The sequence below is a fragment of the Homo sapiens genome, chromosome 18 (assembly GCF_000001405.40).
Source record: "Homo sapiens chromosome 18, GRCh38.p14 Primary Assembly".
Classification (NCBI taxonomy): Eukaryota; Metazoa; Chordata; class Mammalia; order Primates; family Hominidae; genus Homo; species Homo sapiens.
Window position 1 is genome coordinate 33,205,841 of NC_000018.10, and position 17,900 is coordinate 33,223,740.

The window sequence follows — 17,900 nt, forward strand, 5'->3', positions numbered from 1 at the left end:
CATGCCACCACACCCAGGTAATTTTTGTACTTTTTGTAGTGACAGGGTTTCACTATGTTGCCAGGCTGGTCTCCAACTCCTGGGCTCAAGTGATCTGCCCACTTTGGCCTTCTAAAGTGTTGGGATTGCAGGCATGCCTCACAGTACCTGGCCCCCAGCCATGCAAATTAAAGAGACTGTTTAACATAAATTTAAACAACAGCTGACACCCTCCACTTTCAACCTGGGGAGATAAAAAAAGTTTTTTAAATAATGATTTATGTCAGCTATTTATTTATTAATTGCATCCCCCACCCCCCAAAAAGGACTCAAGGCAGCTACATTCCCTAAATTGTAACTGGGTCAATGTGCAACTAAAAACATTAAATGCGATCACTATATATTTAAATTGCCTAAATTGCATTCAGAGAATACTTGATCATTTGAAAAATTTGTTTTTAATTACTAAATGAGAAATAATGAACCAAAGTAGACAACTCAAGTTGCTTTAAAGAAAGAATAACTTATGAAAGTCAATCAAAGGAAATAATAAAGAAAAAAGCTAAAATTAATCAATTAAAAAACAAAAAAGAATATTTATAAATAAGAATTCAGAGTATGTGGAAAAACAAAATATAAAAATTTATCAAGGCTAATCAAGTAAAAAAAGAAAAGGCTAATGCACAAGAAAAGAAGTATGACTACATAAGCAGAAGAAGTAAAAAATTGTATTTCATATACCTTAATGATAATTAATCATAAATCTTGTTAAAATAATTTTTTTCTAGAAAAATATAGCTTTTCAACATTGACTCAAAAGGAATTAGTAAACACTGATCACACAAAACGGAAAAAAAAGAATATATTGTTAAATTTTTTCTTCAGAAAAGAGCCAAGCTCCAGTAATATCTGTTAGGAGCAATTCACCATGAATTCACCATACACTTCTTGTAACAGCTTCTATCTAGAACTCTCTTTTCAATGATGTTTGTATAGCAAAGGTAATGTCTTCCTCCAAGGTAAAAGTTGGGTAAGTTTGCTAGAAGCCCCCTGATAAAATTGGGAGATTCCTACATTAAGGATTTGTCAGCTGTGATAAAAACCTCTGATATATGTAGCATCCACATGGACCACTTTCATATCACCCTTTGAGTCTTGAAGCCAAAGGAAACAGTTCATGCTGCCTGTTGTGTAGTAATAAAGTCCTTTGTCTCTCAGGCTGGAGTTTCATGTCTTCTGCTAGCATCTGTGAAACTATGGCAGGCTAACCAGTTAACTTGCCAGGGTAAAATCTCAGACCCTTCACATATCTTGATAGTATCGTGAGAGAATGTATCAAACCTTTAAGGAACTGAAATGCCCCATGCAATTTAACATAGAAAAAGAACTAAATAAACCTTCCTATTTCATTTTAAAAACTGTAGTAAATCTCTGTTCCAATATCTTTAAAAAAGTACAAAATAGAATTATAGACCAATAGATATTCTAAATTAAATGTTTGTAAATTAAATCTAGTAATGTACTAAAAATTTAATAAACCATAGCCAATTAACGTATATTTAAAAATGCAATTTGATATTTGAAAACATAATTATTTTAGTTGATCAAGAGAAAAATCTACATATTTTTGCTGTTACTCCACAGTGGGGTAAGGCATTGCAAAAGTGATAATATGATTTTCTCAGGGAACATTCATTTTCCAGTGGGAATGGAAAATGAATGTTCCCTGAGAAAATCATAATATCTAAAGTATGTTCATTGGGTATTAGCACAACTATATAAGAAAAATACTAATTTTTAGAAAAATTGAACTATAGCCAAATAATTGCAATAGATGCTTCTAGGTAGTTAAAAAAATAAAAGCTAAAAATGGTAGTTGATTGTCAATGCAGAAAATAAAAAATCTATTCAAATTTCAGATAGATATTACTTTAATATAGTATTAGCAGTAATTCTGCCACATATTCACAAGGAGTGACATGATGCTAGAGAGAGATTTACAAATAAGAGAAGCTTCTTCCTTGTTTAATGGATAATGCTCTAAGGAAACACTCAAAATCTATTAAATTTATATTTAGGAATCACCCATATCCACGCCCCATCCTTCCTCTATATTCTAGTGCTACCCTCTCCTGTTAAGTACTTGTGATCATTGAAGCACCGGATCTGCGCAAAAACATGAGGTAATCTCTGATACAAAATTAGCACTCTTGCCACCATCTTCAAATTAAAATGTTCATTCCTCAAACAGAGATAGATTTTAACAAGTTACTTTTAAAAAGCAATACGATAAGCCTAATTTATATAATTGTGTGTGATTAATTGATGCTCAATCCTATCAAAAGTACTTTTAAAAGAAATATTAATTATGTAAAACATGTTCCTAACTTAAAAAAAATTCATGTTACAGTAAAATAGTCTTTGCGACAGGAAGGTTGTCATTAAGGCAAATAACTCTTGCCCAGGAAATCCATTGGTCAGCTCCCCTAAATGTTTCCAGATTTATCACATATTCATTTCCCACAATTTAGACCACAGAATATGTCATTTTTTTTACTCAAAGTAATCTCTAATTTTTTTAGAACAGTGGATAAGGCCACAATTTACTGTTTGTAATTTGGATGTGGTCATGATATTTATAATTTGAGTGTGACCGCTATATTCAAGTCTGTTTTTCAAATCTTCCATCTTCCTGCTGATGTGTCTTGAAAATGGAGTATAGGGTTTCGGTCATTCAACATTGAGTGCCTTGAATACAGTAATACTCATGAAATAGTTGTGAGAATGTAGAAATGAAGAGTGACCAATAGGAGAATAATATACAAATTGTGATAATCTTTAGAATATCTCAGAGAATAAATTTGTTTGAAATGTTTACTATTCCAGTACCTGGTGGTCAAATGAAACAGTGTATTAAGCTAAAACTTTTCCACATGAAAGTGTCAAAAATAATTTTATATCCAAATTTGGGACTGCTATAGCCAGAGGAAGAGGTATTTCCTGAGAGTAGAAAATATGGAGCAGAATAAAAAGCAATTAACTCTACAAGGAATGGGAGATTGTCTCTACTAGAACTCAATCTGGAAATTGTTCTTCCAGTGTAGTTCATTGTATTTCTCTCATAAGCTAAATTACAGAGGGGACAGCAAATCTATGGAAAGAACACACAGAGAAAGGAAATGACATAGGCGATACAGCAGGTCTTCTAAGGACAACTCATAACAAATTATATCATATATAACCTACAATTTTGTATAGATCTTTCCAAAAGCAAGGACAAACATCACTAGCTAGAGCTACAGTCCTCTGATGAATATGGTACACTGAAAATTTGATCTTAAGCAATGGCATTTGCAAATTATAGACAGTTAGTAAAAATGCCATGACATTATTAAAAAATCTACCATTTATGGATATATGATATGGAATTGCCTACTGAAGAGAGATCAAATTTAACTCCAGAACCATGCTGTCTGTATGTTATCTGAAGTTTGTGTATATTTTCTTACCTTTATTAGCTGTTGGTATTTCTAATTCTATTGTGTGTTTTCTCATATTCTCCATTAACTCTTGTGACTTTTATGAAGTATTTTATTAAACCATCCCTACAGATGATCCATAATTGTGATCAATTCTTTTGCCCAAAAGGAACACCTCAGATTAGTAACATTACATTTATAATGATGCCTTTAATGAGACTCTTTTCTTTGCAGGGATCCTTTACATTACATACACATTTACACCTTTACCACTTCCTAAACAGGGATGAGATCAGGTTTCTACGAGAAATCACATCGTCTTTTCACCATTTAACACTCAATAACTGATCATAATCATAAATAAATAGCATCATTAATGATAAGGCACATCAATCTCTAAACTCTGCATCTTCAGACTCTATGATTCTGGTCACATAAGGTGAATGCACAACAAGAGCTATCCAAGAAACTGGTAAGAGACAACTTCATATAAATTTAAGGTTATCTGACAAGCACTGTTGACATAGTTAACAGAATCCTTAAGTGCTAGAAAGCAATAGATGATTTAACCATTTTCACTAGAGTAGGAAGTATCAGGAAAAGAAAGAGAATGAGACAGACAGAGAGAGAGAGAGAAAGAGAGACACACACAGACAGAGAGAGATTGATTCAGCTTCTGCACCCAGGATGAGTTTGGTAAAGTATCAGGAGTATCAGGCTGGTGGAGTTTGAACAGTATTTCTGAAATGCTCCTGCTTCTTGCTACTAGCAGCATGTGGACAGCAAAATTATCCAAAAAGCATCTATTATCTATCTATTTATTCATTCAACACATATTTATTGCGTACTTCTGGCCAGACATAGTACTGAGATTTTAGGATACAGAAAAGGATATAAAAGAAAATTCCCTCCCCTTAGAGAAGAAATTATTCTGGCAGGAGATAGGCAGACAAAAGACAGGTATAAATGAATTACCAAAACAAGTTCAGATAGAGATCAGTGCCCAGAAAAAATCATGAGACCATATAATGCTTCCAAGTGGCTGGGGGTGGGTACAGTTGGGAGTAGAAAGGCAGGGACAGGCTTTTTGATGAAAAGAAATGCAAATCTCAATAATTTAGAGGCTGGTTATAGAGGATGTTTTATTCATCTCTCTCCTGCTGACCATCTTTTGCCATTTCACTAATTATTATTGTTCCATTATAGTGCTGGAATGCCAGTCGATAAATGATTATTGAGACCCCACTGTGTTCTCAGCACCACTGTGACTAGAAAATGTGGTTGAATTCAAATAACTAATTCTACTGCTCTAATAAAATGTGAGGTGGGGAAGAATGCTTAAATCGGTAAATAACTTAAGCCTTCTTGCTTTGAGAGGTGCATTGGAGTCTAAGCTTCCTCCAATCCATTCGTAGCTCACACATCTGAAACTCAGCCATCGGTTTCAGCAACTGCTCTAAGAAGAGGCATCACGTATTGCCACTAGATGGCACCAATTATTTTCATATTTTTAGGTCAAGAAAACCCTTTTCTAAAATGTAATGGCCACATTTAAAATAGAAGAATGTTACTTAGCATTGTTATTAACAAAGTATTATTCTCTTCTTAATAATTTTCTTATAGACAAACCAATAGAACTAAGAAGATATGTTCTTTCACCCACATACTTGTTCATGCAATGTACATTTGTTCCAAATAGTCTTTAAAAAAAAGTTCTCACACGTCTTTAGATATGTAAAAAGTAGGGAAAGTAATGGAAATATTGATATAATAATTGAATATATAAATATCATATTTGAATATATAAATATGAAGATCAAAAATAGCTCATATATTATGATACTACATATACTTTGAAAACTTTCACAGAAAAGAGTTTTAAAATACTACGGAAAATATTTTTGCTTCTTAGAAAAGATGTCCCTTTGTATCTTCCAAAAATGAGTAATATTTTTAAATGTAATTTAAATATGGTACTAATTCATTACAATTAAATGTAACAAAAACTATTGCAAAATTTAAAATGGGATAGGAATCATTTAACTGAATGCAAACATTTTATAGGTATAGCTTAATATAATTTGATTAATAAAAGTTCAGGCCTAAAAGAACTTTTAATACAATTTCCCTGTTTCAAACAAGTAAATTTATAGGTCCATTAGAATATTATGCAAAATTTTTCTACAGGAGAAGAGCGTGACATATTTTCATTCCTCAAAAAAGTGGTTGGTAAACATTCAAAGTATATTTATTCAGAAACAAATGATAACCATTCTCATTCTCACATCCTTCATTAAAAGCATAAAAGGACTCTGGAATAAATATAGCCTACATTTTTATATTAATAGACTTCAAAATAAAGTACGATAATAAATGAGAGTACACATAAAATGCATTGAAAAGTACAATATGCTCTATGAATATATCATAATTACTTAGAAGAAACAATGAAAACTTCCAGGTTTATTATGTTAACAAATTTATTTTTAAAATCTTAACACCCTTGCTACTTCAGGATAAAAATTGTCTCAAACTAGCTGCTAATTTGACTATCACTATATTCCTTTCATTTTGAAACATGCAAAAATAATACTCACTTGGGTATCTTGAAGAGTTTTTTGTCTTACAGCAAGGAGCACTCTAAATCTCTGATCTTCCTCAAAGATTCTCTCTTCACAGTCTTTTTTCTCTTGCATATAATGATCAAACACAGTTTGTGCATGTTCCCTTTTAAATCTCATAGTTATAAATTTGTTCCTGTGAAGAAAGAATTCCATGTGCCACTAATCAATTCACATTTTATTTTTCAAAATGCATTTATGAGACATTTTAAAAGGACCAAAATGAAAAATCTTGAAGACCCTTGAACTGACAGGCCTTGGAAAAATTCCCTGGTTTTTCTCAAGGTCTACTTCCATAGGGCTACATCTAAATCATCCAGGTGGAAGAAAATCTATGGAAGAACAGTGTATTCTCTTGGTTGCCTATCCAGCATGCTTTTGTTCTCTAGGCATTTCAAGAAAACCCCTCCTCCAAGAGATATATTCTGATTAGTCCAACCAGCATATGACCCATTGTCCAGGGGCGAGAAGCTATATTAAGATAGCTCGAGGAAATGAGTGAGAAGCTCTTAATTCCATGTAGAAGAGCTCATACCCACTAAATGTGACTTACACATCATGCTTTCAAGGTTGCTGCCAACAGCCATAGTGGAGAGAGAAAAAAATGAGTGCCTGGTATTGAGCTGTTGAATCAACCAACCCTGCAGCTTGCTCTGCCAATTATGTAAGATGATGCCTTTTTTATTGTTTAAGCTGGTGTTATGTAAGATGATGCATTTTTTATTGCTTTATGCTTCCTGTTACATAAGATGATAGATTTTTTTATTGTTTAAGCTGGTATGTGAATAGGTGTATGTATGCATGTGTGTGCATGTCTGTATTTTATCATTTGCAATTAAACACATCATAATGCAAAGGTAAAATAACTTTTATGGTGAACTCAGTAGTTATGTAAGGAACAATACTAGTAGAAAAATATCAAAACATGGTTAAAACAATACTGGTAACAATAACTTGCTTGCCAAAGTTGAGCAGCAACTCAGTGTCCAGATTAAGGTATCTGAAAAAGCTCAACACAGTCTTATTCTATCCACATTAGTTAACAAGTCTACCGATACAGAAAATTAAATCACTTGCACAGTTAGCTATAAAGGCAGCAAGACTAATATTTTGGGAAGGACTAAACTAATATCTCTGCTTTTAAATAATATCCCATTTAATACAACAAAAACCACTCTATGAAATAATAATGAGATAGCCACCTAGAGTTGAGGAACCTAAACTTGGATAATTAATTAGCTTGTGTAAGCTCAACTAGTTGGTAAATGACAGAACCAGAATTCAAATCTAGTCCTGCCTTTTTCTGATTCAGCAGTTCAACATTAAGTACTCATTTTTTTCTGCTCTTCGTTATAGCTGTTATCAGCAAATTTGAAAACATATCACTTTGTTTACAGTTAGTGGATGTGAGCCTCTTCTTCTACAGGAAATAAGGTTCTTCTCCTCTTTCATCTATCTTGCCCTGGTTTTTCCTCTACATCATTCATACCAAAAACATTCCAAATTATTAAGTGATGTCTGATCAGTAGCCAATGATATTGACATCTTGGAGCAGAGAGAACCAATGAAATTCACACAGGAAGGAGCTAGTGTGACCAAAACGATAAAATGTTCATAGTTGATCCCAAAAAAACATTGATATATTTTGACCACATGTACTTTGTTCTCTACACTGTTTTGATATTGAATTATATTAATTATAGCATTGTATTAATATCTACACAGACATTTATATACACTATGTACGTGTATATCTATGCAATAAAATAATGTTTCCTTTCTCACAGTGATAAAACAAGTGGACTTTGAAGTCCTATGGGTCTGGATTTTAATTTTCCACTTTCTAGTTAAGAAGCAATTATAAAAATTAAATGAGGGTCAAGGATGGCTTTGATTGCCATTATTTTTAACACCATATTTTAATTGTCTTGTTTATATAAGGTTTGTCTCTCTGCAAAGATCTTCAGACACTTGAAGATACACTTTCCCACTTGCCATTTCTTAGTCCTTATTGGGGCCTGGCAGTATGCCCACTATGAGTTCTCAATAAATAATAAGTAGCTTGTTGTGGGAACTTATTGAAAATATCAGTAGATTATTCATAAAACAGCTGATCTTCCTTTGCAATCCCACTTTAGGGGGTCAGTTGAAAGGGCACACACTTGGAACAGGTTGGAGCTAAGCTGAAGCTACCTCTACCACTACTTAAGAGTGTGATCTTAGATTCCCTGAGCCTCTGTTTCTCAGCATTCATTGGAAATGATACAATTTAACCACTTGCTATAAGAATTGGATGAGACAAGGTACACACATTGTCCAGGACGTACCTGGCACAATAGCAAGTCATTCAACGGTAGCTTTAAATATTATTTGACATTATATACCATCACTGCTAATTAATAGTTGTATAAGTAATTCCACAGTATTGGCTAATTCTTTTTCTCCTTTTCTTGTTGGAAGGCAGGGCTTTGTCAAGTTTAGAGAGAGAACTGATTCACTGGGACATGGAAACCACTCTTGTCTGAAAGGCCATATAATCCAGCTTCAGAAGAAGTTAGGATTGAAACGGGAGGAAGCCTGAAGAAAAAATTTTCATCAGCTCCTGAATTAGATCTTTATAATTTTAATGTAAGTTATATACATTTATATTTATATCTTTGAGTCCCAAGCTATTCTTACAGGTATTAAACAAGGTGGATAAATATCTTTAAAAGTAAATGATATGTTTCCCTGCTTTTTCACATAATATAGTGAATATGAGTAGTGTTTTTCAGATAAAGCTGAATTATCATGTTGAAAATAAGTTTTACTCTATGATAATAGCTAAACAAATGCTTGATGGGGGCATTGACTTGACTCCATTAGAATGCATGGCAACAGGCTGGGCATAAATTTTTTCTGACACTTTATCCCTCAAGCATTATGATTTTGCTAATGCTTGTAGTAACCTTCTTTATTTAAAGCAGACTGTTGTCCCTAAATGTGGCCAGTGCATGTTCCTCTAATACTCCTCCAAGTCCAGTTCTCAATGTTTTACAAGATAGGAAATGAGAAGCAAAATGAGTAAAGGAAGAGTAAATAAGTTTTAGGTTAGGGTCTATGGATACCCAATGAGCCTGAGAGCATGATCATTCTCTCAGGACTTACTAACCCTGAACAATTATATCCCCGACTCATGAGGTGACTGATAAGAAACTTTTGAAATGATAAATTTGAATAAATTGCACGAGGTTTCATAGAATATCTGAGTCTGAACTCTTACCTCAAAACTAATCAAAAACATTTGGGTGAAAAAACATAAATTATTAAACATGGAGTATAAATACTGATACATCTGAAAGTAATGAAGAATATTATTAATGTCATAAAGAATAAAGTTCTCCTCCTTGGAAAGGGAGAAACATTTCCAGTTATTCAAATAAGAACAAACCCGAGAAGCAATAATGAATGAAAGCAGTTTATGATTATGCTTTTATAAACTAAAATTATCAAATAACACATATATATTCCACACTACGTTATAATTAAAAATACGAACCATTTTAAGAATGCATTTTAAATATGGAAATTTGATCTTATTTATTAATATTTTTTAAAAACTTCATATTTTGATAAAGTTTAAGTACTTACTTTAATATTTCAAGTGTCTGATCAAAACTTTTCTTTTCTTCTTCTTTTGCTTTTAATTCCTCATTCAATTCATTTATTTTTGCATAAAAAATCATTGTCTTACTTTTAGTTGCTTCTAGGTCTTTAAAAATTGCTGAGCGTTTACTCTGAAAAAAAATATACACAAGTGTTTATTTTAAATACTTGGATTTTCAAATCCCTGCTATTTAGGAACACAATTACATTGGCTGTGTGAACAACTAAAAGTTAATAGTGGGCCACACCTGATGGCTCACTCCTGTAATCCCAGCACTTTGGGAAGTCAAAGCAGGAGGAGCCAGGAGTTCACTTAGAGCCAGGAGTTCAAGACCAACCTGGACAACAAAGCAAGCACCTGGTCTCTACCCAAAATTTTTTTAAATAGCCAGGTGCAGTGTTTCACACCTGTAGTCCCAGCTACTTGGGAGGCTGAGGTGGGAGGATCACTTTAGTATAGGAGGTCAAGGATGCAATGAGCCATGATTGCTCCACTGCACTCCAGCCCAGATGACAGAGTGAGACCCTGTCTCTAAAAAAACAACTGAGGTTTATATTCTCCACTGTTACATCTGATTTTCTAAAAAATAAAATTGTTTATTCTCTCTGTCCCACACAAACTTGCTCCCCTTTCCAAACACACACCTAAATGCATACTTTATAAGCATGTCATTTCAAGATGCAAACATGTCGTCACTGGTTTTCAAACATGTACAAAGTGCATTGGCAGGCGGACAAGGATATATATATTGTTCTGATATTTCCAGCAAAAGAAGCCAATATTTACTACCAGCACTTCTTTCCATGGTAGGCCTGTGCAATTCCAGAATGAACATTTGATTGTGCATCTATTTTTGTGTCATCCCTTTATGACTGTTTGTGTTCAAATGGAACTGAGTGACTCACTGATGGACTGTTATTGAATTGTTCCCCACATTCAGCATGGCTGCTAATTAGTGTTACTCTCCCAACTGATTCTACAGATCTCAATGGCTCCTTCTGCCTCCACTATCTTCTATTTTCCCCATATGCTTCCAAATACTTTCTTTACTCATAGATTTCAAGAATAACAACTAATATTTTATATTTGTTTTACTATAAAACCTTACTGTTTGTCTAAGATTTTGAACATTGGGTACTGCATTTGAATTTTCACATCCTTCCTGCTTTGTTTCCTTCCTTTTCTGGAAGTTCTGATAATTTTCTACTGATAAATAAAAGGATTTTTTCTCCTTATACTAGAATGTAGTGGAAATATAACTAACTAAGATTTGTTGATAGGTCCATTGGAGTATTAAGTTATTTGGGTGGGGGTGGAAGTAAACCCAAAGACAGAGAGCGGACAGGTGTGAGTATGGACACTCTAAGTACTCCATGCTCTCTATCCCTAAACTTGACGTTTAGATCAGATTTCATCATTCATTTCTTAGTCTTAGCTGAAGAGTCTCCTCTTCAAAGGAATCTGGTTTTGCATAGTATATCTTTTAGCACACTGTAAAATTTATTTAGCTAATATATTTATGATCTGGTCATCTATGCTCATAAGCAAGATCACCAACGGACTTGTTTCTTGCACTATTAATTTTTGGTTATGGTTGCAAGGTTTTAGTTTCATTATAGAATGATTTTAGAAGATTTCCATGCTTTCTTATGCTCTGTAAGTGGTATTTGTAGAGAGACTCATAAAGTATCTTGACTGATTCTTGGTTTTATTGGTAGAGTTTGGACAAATTAAATTTCTTCTATGATCATTGATCTATTCTTGTGTTTTATTTCTTTTGACCCAGTTTTCACCATTTTATAAAGAAATCATACATACAATTGATATAGATCTTAAAACAAATTCCTATGCAAAGTAGTATTTAATTCACTGTGTATATAATTATACCCCTTTTAATCACTCCCATGGCTGTTAATTTTCATTTTTTCTTCTTTGCCCTTAATAAATATGTTAAATATTTTTAGATTTTTTTTTAAATCAAAATCATTTATTGGTAATGTCAAAATACTATATTGGCCTATGTCATAAATTTTGCTGTATAGTTTGTCATTATTGGTCATGTATAAATAAATGGTAATTTGTATTTTAGTTATTTCTTAGCACAGAAGCAAATTAATAAAAGAAATGTGATTCTGAAATATTTCTAGTAGTGCATATACTTTTTATTTCTTTTTGCCCTGTATTTTTGTCATTGATTTCTGATTTTAATTCATTGTATGCAAACTTGGGTGACATGACCAATACAATATAATGGTTAAGAGCATCTATTTCAGTGTCAGACTGTCTGGGTTGGAATTGCAACTTTACCACTAATGAGTTATGTGAACCTGTACAAGTTAATTAAGAAACAAAGCATCAGATTTCTCAACTGTAAGATAGAGGTAATAGCACACTCTTCATAGGCTTATCATGAAAATGAAATGATGTGCTGTTATGTCTGTGCACTTAAAACAATGCCTGACACACATAAAACATGCAGCAAATATCTATTATTTTCTCTGTAATTTTTTAAATATTTCTTTTGAGGCCCATTATAAGACAAACATTTAAAAAATGATATGAGGACACCTCTCTCTCATGGCCCACATGCTTTCCACCAACAAATCCTATTGGAACCACATTTGACATACATCTAGAGGACATATTACTAGGTTAAAAACAATATTGGCTGCTTAAATGTCTTCCTTTGAGAAGTGTCTGCTCATATCCTTCACCCACTTTTTGATAGAGTCATTTGATTTTTTCTCGTAAATTTGTTTAAGTTCTTTGTAGATTCTGGATATTAGCCCTTTGTCAGATGGGTAGATTGTAAAAATTTCCTCCCATTCTGTAGGTTGCCTGTTCACTCTGATGGTAGTTTCTTTTGCTGTGCAGAAGCTCTTTAGTTTAATTAGATCCCAGTTGTCTATTTTGGCTTTTGTTGCCATTGCTTTTGGTGTTTTAGTCATGAAGTACTTGCCAATGCCTATGTCCTGAATGGTATTGCCTAGGTTTTTTTCTAGGGTTTTTATGGTTTTAGGTCTAACATTTAAGTCTTTAATCCATCTTGAATTAATTTTTGTATAAGGTATAAGGAAGGGATCCAGTTTCAGCTTTCTACCTATGGCTAGCCAGTTTTCCCAGTACCATTTACTAAATAGGGAATCCTTTCCCCATTTCTTGTTTTTGCCAGGTTTGTCAAAGATCAGATGGTTGTAGATCTGTGGAATTATTTCTGAGGGCTCTGCTCTGTTCCATTGGTCTCTATCTCTGTTTTGGTATCAATACCATGCTGTTTTGGTTACTGTGGCCTTGTAGTATAGTTTGAAGTCAGGTAGCGTGACGCCTCTAGCTTTGCTCTTTTGGCTTAGGATTGTCTTGGCAATGTGGGCTCTTTTTTGGTTCCATATGAACTTTAAAGTAGTTTTTTCCAATTCTGTGAAGAAAGTCATTGGTAGCTTGATGGGGATGGCATTGAATCTATAAATTACTTTGGGCAGTATGGCAGTTTTCACAATACTGATTATTCCTATCGATCAACATGGAATGTTCTTCCATTTATTGTGTCCTCTTTTATTTCATTGAGCAGTGGTTTGTAGTTCTCCTTGAAGAGGTCCTTCACATGAAAAAATGCTCATCATCACTGGACATCAGAGAAATGCAAATCAATATCACAATGAGATACCATCTCACACCAGTTAGAATGGCAATCATTAAAAAGTCAGGAAACAACAGGTGCTGGAGAGGATGTGGAGAAACAGGAACACTTTTACACTGTTGGTGGGACTGTAAACTAGTTCAACCATTGTGGAAGACAGTGTGGCAATTCCTCAAGGATCTAGAACTAGAAATACCATTTGACCCAGCCATCCCATTACTGGGTATATACCCAAAGGATTATAAATCATGGTGCTATAAAGACACATTCACACGTATGTTTATTGCGGCACTATTCACAATAGCAAAGACTTGGAACCAATCCAAATGTCCATCAATGATAGACTGGATTAAGAAAATGTGGCACATATACACCATGGAATACTATGCAGCCATAAAAAGGATGAGTTCATGTCCTTTGTAGGGACATGGATGAAGCTGTAAGCCATCATTCTCAGCAAACTATCACAAGGACAGAAAACCAAACACCACATGTTCTCACTCATAGGTGGGAATTGAACAATGAGAACACTTGGACACAGGGTAGGGAACATCACACACCGGAGCCTGTCATGGGGTTGGGGGTGGAGGGAGGGATAGCATTAGGAGATATACCTAATGTAAATGACGAGTTAATGGGTGCAGCATACCTACATGGCACATGTATACATAAACAAACCTGCACATTGTGCACATGTACCCTAGAACTTAAAGTATAATAATGATAATAATAATAAAGACAATATTGACTTTCTCCCCTTTCCTACAGCCAATAATTCACGAGTTAGAAATGTTAGCAATAAGAACTTTCATGGGGAAATATTTCTAATTTGGAAAAAGCCCTAAAGTCTCCAGTCACACATCCATTTGTTTATGCTGAATACATACTAACTTGGGGGTAAAATTTAGATGTCAGGTAGGAACAAATGTTTTGGTCTGTAGATTGCTCCCATCTGCAGAAACACAATACTCTCTGGTAGAGAACAAATCCCAGTCTCTACTTTGTAGAAAAGGCAATGGGGGTAAGGGAGCAATCAGTGGGTGTTACAATGCACCGATTACTGTACTATGCATTGTATTTGAACTGTGCCTTTTATGACTCACAGTAGCAATATAATCAATGTTATATCCATTTTACAATAGAAAATCCAGAATAGTCTGGATGGTACAGCTAGTTTAAGTGGTGATGACTGGTTAAACACTAGATTTCTCTGACTCCAAAGCCTTTACTATTTTCTCTATACCAAAACTGGCCCTTGCTTTTTGGTCACTGCTGCTAAAAGAAATTACATGAGATTTTACTATACATAGTAGGTATTGGCATGCATGAGTTTTGAGATTGGACAGAAGGGGATTCTTGCTACTTGGGAATTTAACCTCTATAAACCTCAGCTTTTAATTTATATAAATGCAATACTAAGTACTTCACAGGGTTGCTGTGAGAATTCAATGAAATGATCTGAGCCGTGTGTTTGCCCTTTGTCAGCACATTGAAATCAACATTAATAAATGACGTTGATAATAATTAATGAAGTTCATAAGAGGTAGCTGACCTACCTGACTTCTACTGATAACATTGGCTGAAGATAATACCCATGCTGGGAAAATGATTTTCTTTTCTGCTCTGAATTGAACCAGTCATTTTTCACTGCTGTAATAATCACAACTTCCACTTATGACTCCTAATTCCCAAATTCTAGTGTGCGAGAAGTGCCACTACCAAGGATACTCTCTTAAGTATACTTGAATGTATTTAAGCATTTGCCTATTCAGAGAAACCCACAAAGCCCTGCGTACCAGACAGGGATGGAGCTGTTTACTGTTATGAAGTCTACACCAAATATAGCCCATGAACCCTGCAATTCACTCACTTCATTTTTTCTCACAAGGGGTGAAGTCTACTCCCTGTCCACAGCCTCGCGCACTCTCAGTCATCTTCCTCAGAGAAGCTACACTCTCTTTCACCTGAAGATGTGAATATAGTGCCTAACAGACCTAGTAGGCACTGAGTTCATGCAGAAGACAACAGCATTAAACTTGCAGTGCTCTTTGACTTTTCTCTCCTTCTTTTGGCTAAAAAGTAAGCTGACTCTAACAGTCGAGTTTGGGCTCTAGTCCCACCTCTATTGAAGAAGTGAGTCTTGCCTTTGCCCAACTGCTATATTAAAATATTCTTGCTACAAAGCTCAGTAAAAGAGGGAAAGAGATAGATGGACATGAGATAAATAGGAAGGGTGACTTTTCAGAAAATTGATGAGACACTTAGTGCCTGTAGTGTGTGAGAATACTGGGCGGAAAGGCAAAGAGGTATGTATAAGGAGCGTCCCTTGGGAGTGATGAGGATACCATTACAGTTCTGGTCACAGTGTCCTTTATAAAATGCAAATAAAAGTAAATTATTTTAAAATTATTTTTTGGCTCTTGAACTATACTTCTTTTGTAAGCTGTGACTCCCATAGGGAATCACATAATTTAAAAACCTTCTGCTTTAAGCTCTCCTCATCAAAAGCAAAGCCAGTGAAGGTCTTTTCCCTGGCAAAACAGAGTATCATTTTACTATGAAAGTCAATCCTTTATTTTAACTGACAACTAAATAAAGGCTTTGTGTACAAAACCACTAGTAAGATGAATAGAAAAAGCTGACCTTAATTGGCTAAGTGAAGATGCTTTCTAAGAACAAAATCTTAGTAGTAGTTGGCTTAAAATTTAAAGAATTATGTATATGATTTTAAGTTATCTTTTGGAATATTAAAATGTATAGTCAAATTATATGATACAATATTAATATAAAAATAATTAAATTACATTAGTGATTCTAAGTTCTCTAACTGAAAAGAAAATGCTCACTAGTTTAAGCATGTTTATATTAAATGTGATATTTTATAGTTTCAGAGTGTCAGATTGATAATTTGGGGGTAAAACAGTAGACATATGTCAATAGAAGATTCTAGCCGTTTAACAAAAGTGTAATCATGCTATTTTTTATTGTTTAATTTTGACTTCTTCCTTCCTTCCTCCCTCCCTTCCTTTCTTCCTTCCTTCCCTCCCTCCCTCCTTTCCTGCCTCCTTCCTTCTTTCCTTCCTTCCTTCCTTCCTTTCCTTCCTTCCTCCCTTCTTCCCTCCCTTCCTTCCTTCATTTTCTTTCTTCCTGTCTTAGTTTGTTTAGGCTGTTACAACAAAACGCCTTAGAATGAGTACTTTATAAACCATAGAAATGTATGTCTTAAAGTTCTAGAGCTAAGCAATCCAAGAACTAGGCAACAACAGATTTGGTGTCTCATGAAGCTTCACCCTCTGCTTCAAAGATGGTGTCTTCTTCCTTCATACTCATGTGGTAGAAGGGGCCAGCAAGATTCTTGGGGCCTCTCTTATAGGGGCACTAATCCCAACGAGCTCTCATAATCTAATCACCTCTGGCCTAGCCTCTTATTGGGGATTATGTTTCAACATATGAATTTTGGGGGAACACAAACATTCAGACCATAGCAATTCCCCTTTTCCTTCCTTTTCTCCCTCTGTTCTTTCTTGTTTTCTTTCCTTTTTATTTCTTTTCTTCTTCTTCATTTTTTTTTGGTTTTTAATCTCCAAGTAAAAGGAGACAGCATGGCCATCACAGAAAGCAGTAGACTTCTGCATGAATCCAATATCTAATTTTCCTTGTATTTATCCTGATTAGGAGCTATGTCCCTGATAAACTAGACCAGTGAGGAAGATACTGCAAGAGAAAGTAAATGAAAACACAAGGACTGTGTGTGTGTGAGTGTGTGCGCTTTTATCCCTAGTCGATTTAGTGCAATCAATAAGAAATGAGACACATTCATTTAAAATTAAACTTGCTTGAATAGTTTTCACTGACATACATAAACTGTAAATTCAAAATTAGATTCTGAACTTAAATTCTTACCTCAGTTTCTATTAATGCATCAAGGGTTTTCTTCCCCTTTTTTCGTAATTTTTTCTTTACTTTTCCCACCTTTCTTCTAATAAGATCTTTCTGATCAATTATATTATTAAGCATCTAGAAGACATTCAGATATTAAGATGTGCAGCATTTGCAACCCAGTTATCCTCATTTAGGCCAAATCGTACTTAAGTGACTATTTTAATAACAACAGCATTTATTTTGGCAAATAAAGGGAAAGAACCATCACACATAAATTACAGAAATATACTGTATATCCAAAAATTTCAATATTCTATTTGCACTATGTGAGAAAGCCAAAATCTAATGAATTTTAGTTAAGTAACAAAAATAAATAAGCTTACATAGAAAGTATGAATATTTGTTATAATATTTGTTTTAATCAAAACTAAAACTCCAAATACAAATAGTAAGCAATCACTACCAAAAAGTATGTAAAAACTTATTCTTCCTTACTGTGTGCTAAATTATTAATTCTTATAATTTATTAACTATTAAAATATAATCAAACCAAAAATGATTACTGAACTACAAGAAGATGTAAAACCATGGCTGTTATAAAATAACAGGAAACAAAGATCATTAATCTTTTCTGGAATTCATTATTGTACTCAGAC

General features: G+C 34.1%; 1 protein-coding gene across 8 annotated transcripts in view; it reads right to left on the reverse strand.

Annotated features, from left to right (window-relative positions):
• CCDC178 (coiled-coil domain containing 178) overlaps positions 1-17,900 on the reverse strand; it is a 503,635-nt gene that overhangs the window by 268,435 nt on the left and 217,300 nt on the right. For 7 of the 8 annotated variants that reach the window (NM_001371120.1, XM_011525951.2, NM_001308126.3 and 4 more), the window contains 3 exons: positions 17,266-17,379; positions 9,710-9,855; positions 6,056-6,215 (listed from right to left, as the gene is read on the reverse strand). In NM_001371120.1, coding sequence (NP_001358049.1) covers positions 6,056-6,215; positions 9,710-9,855; positions 17,266-17,379 — 420 coding nt within the window. The remainder of the gene's footprint in view (positions 1-6,055; positions 6,216-9,709; positions 9,856-17,265; positions 17,380-17,900) is intronic. The other variant, NM_198995.3, reaches the window with a different exon arrangement.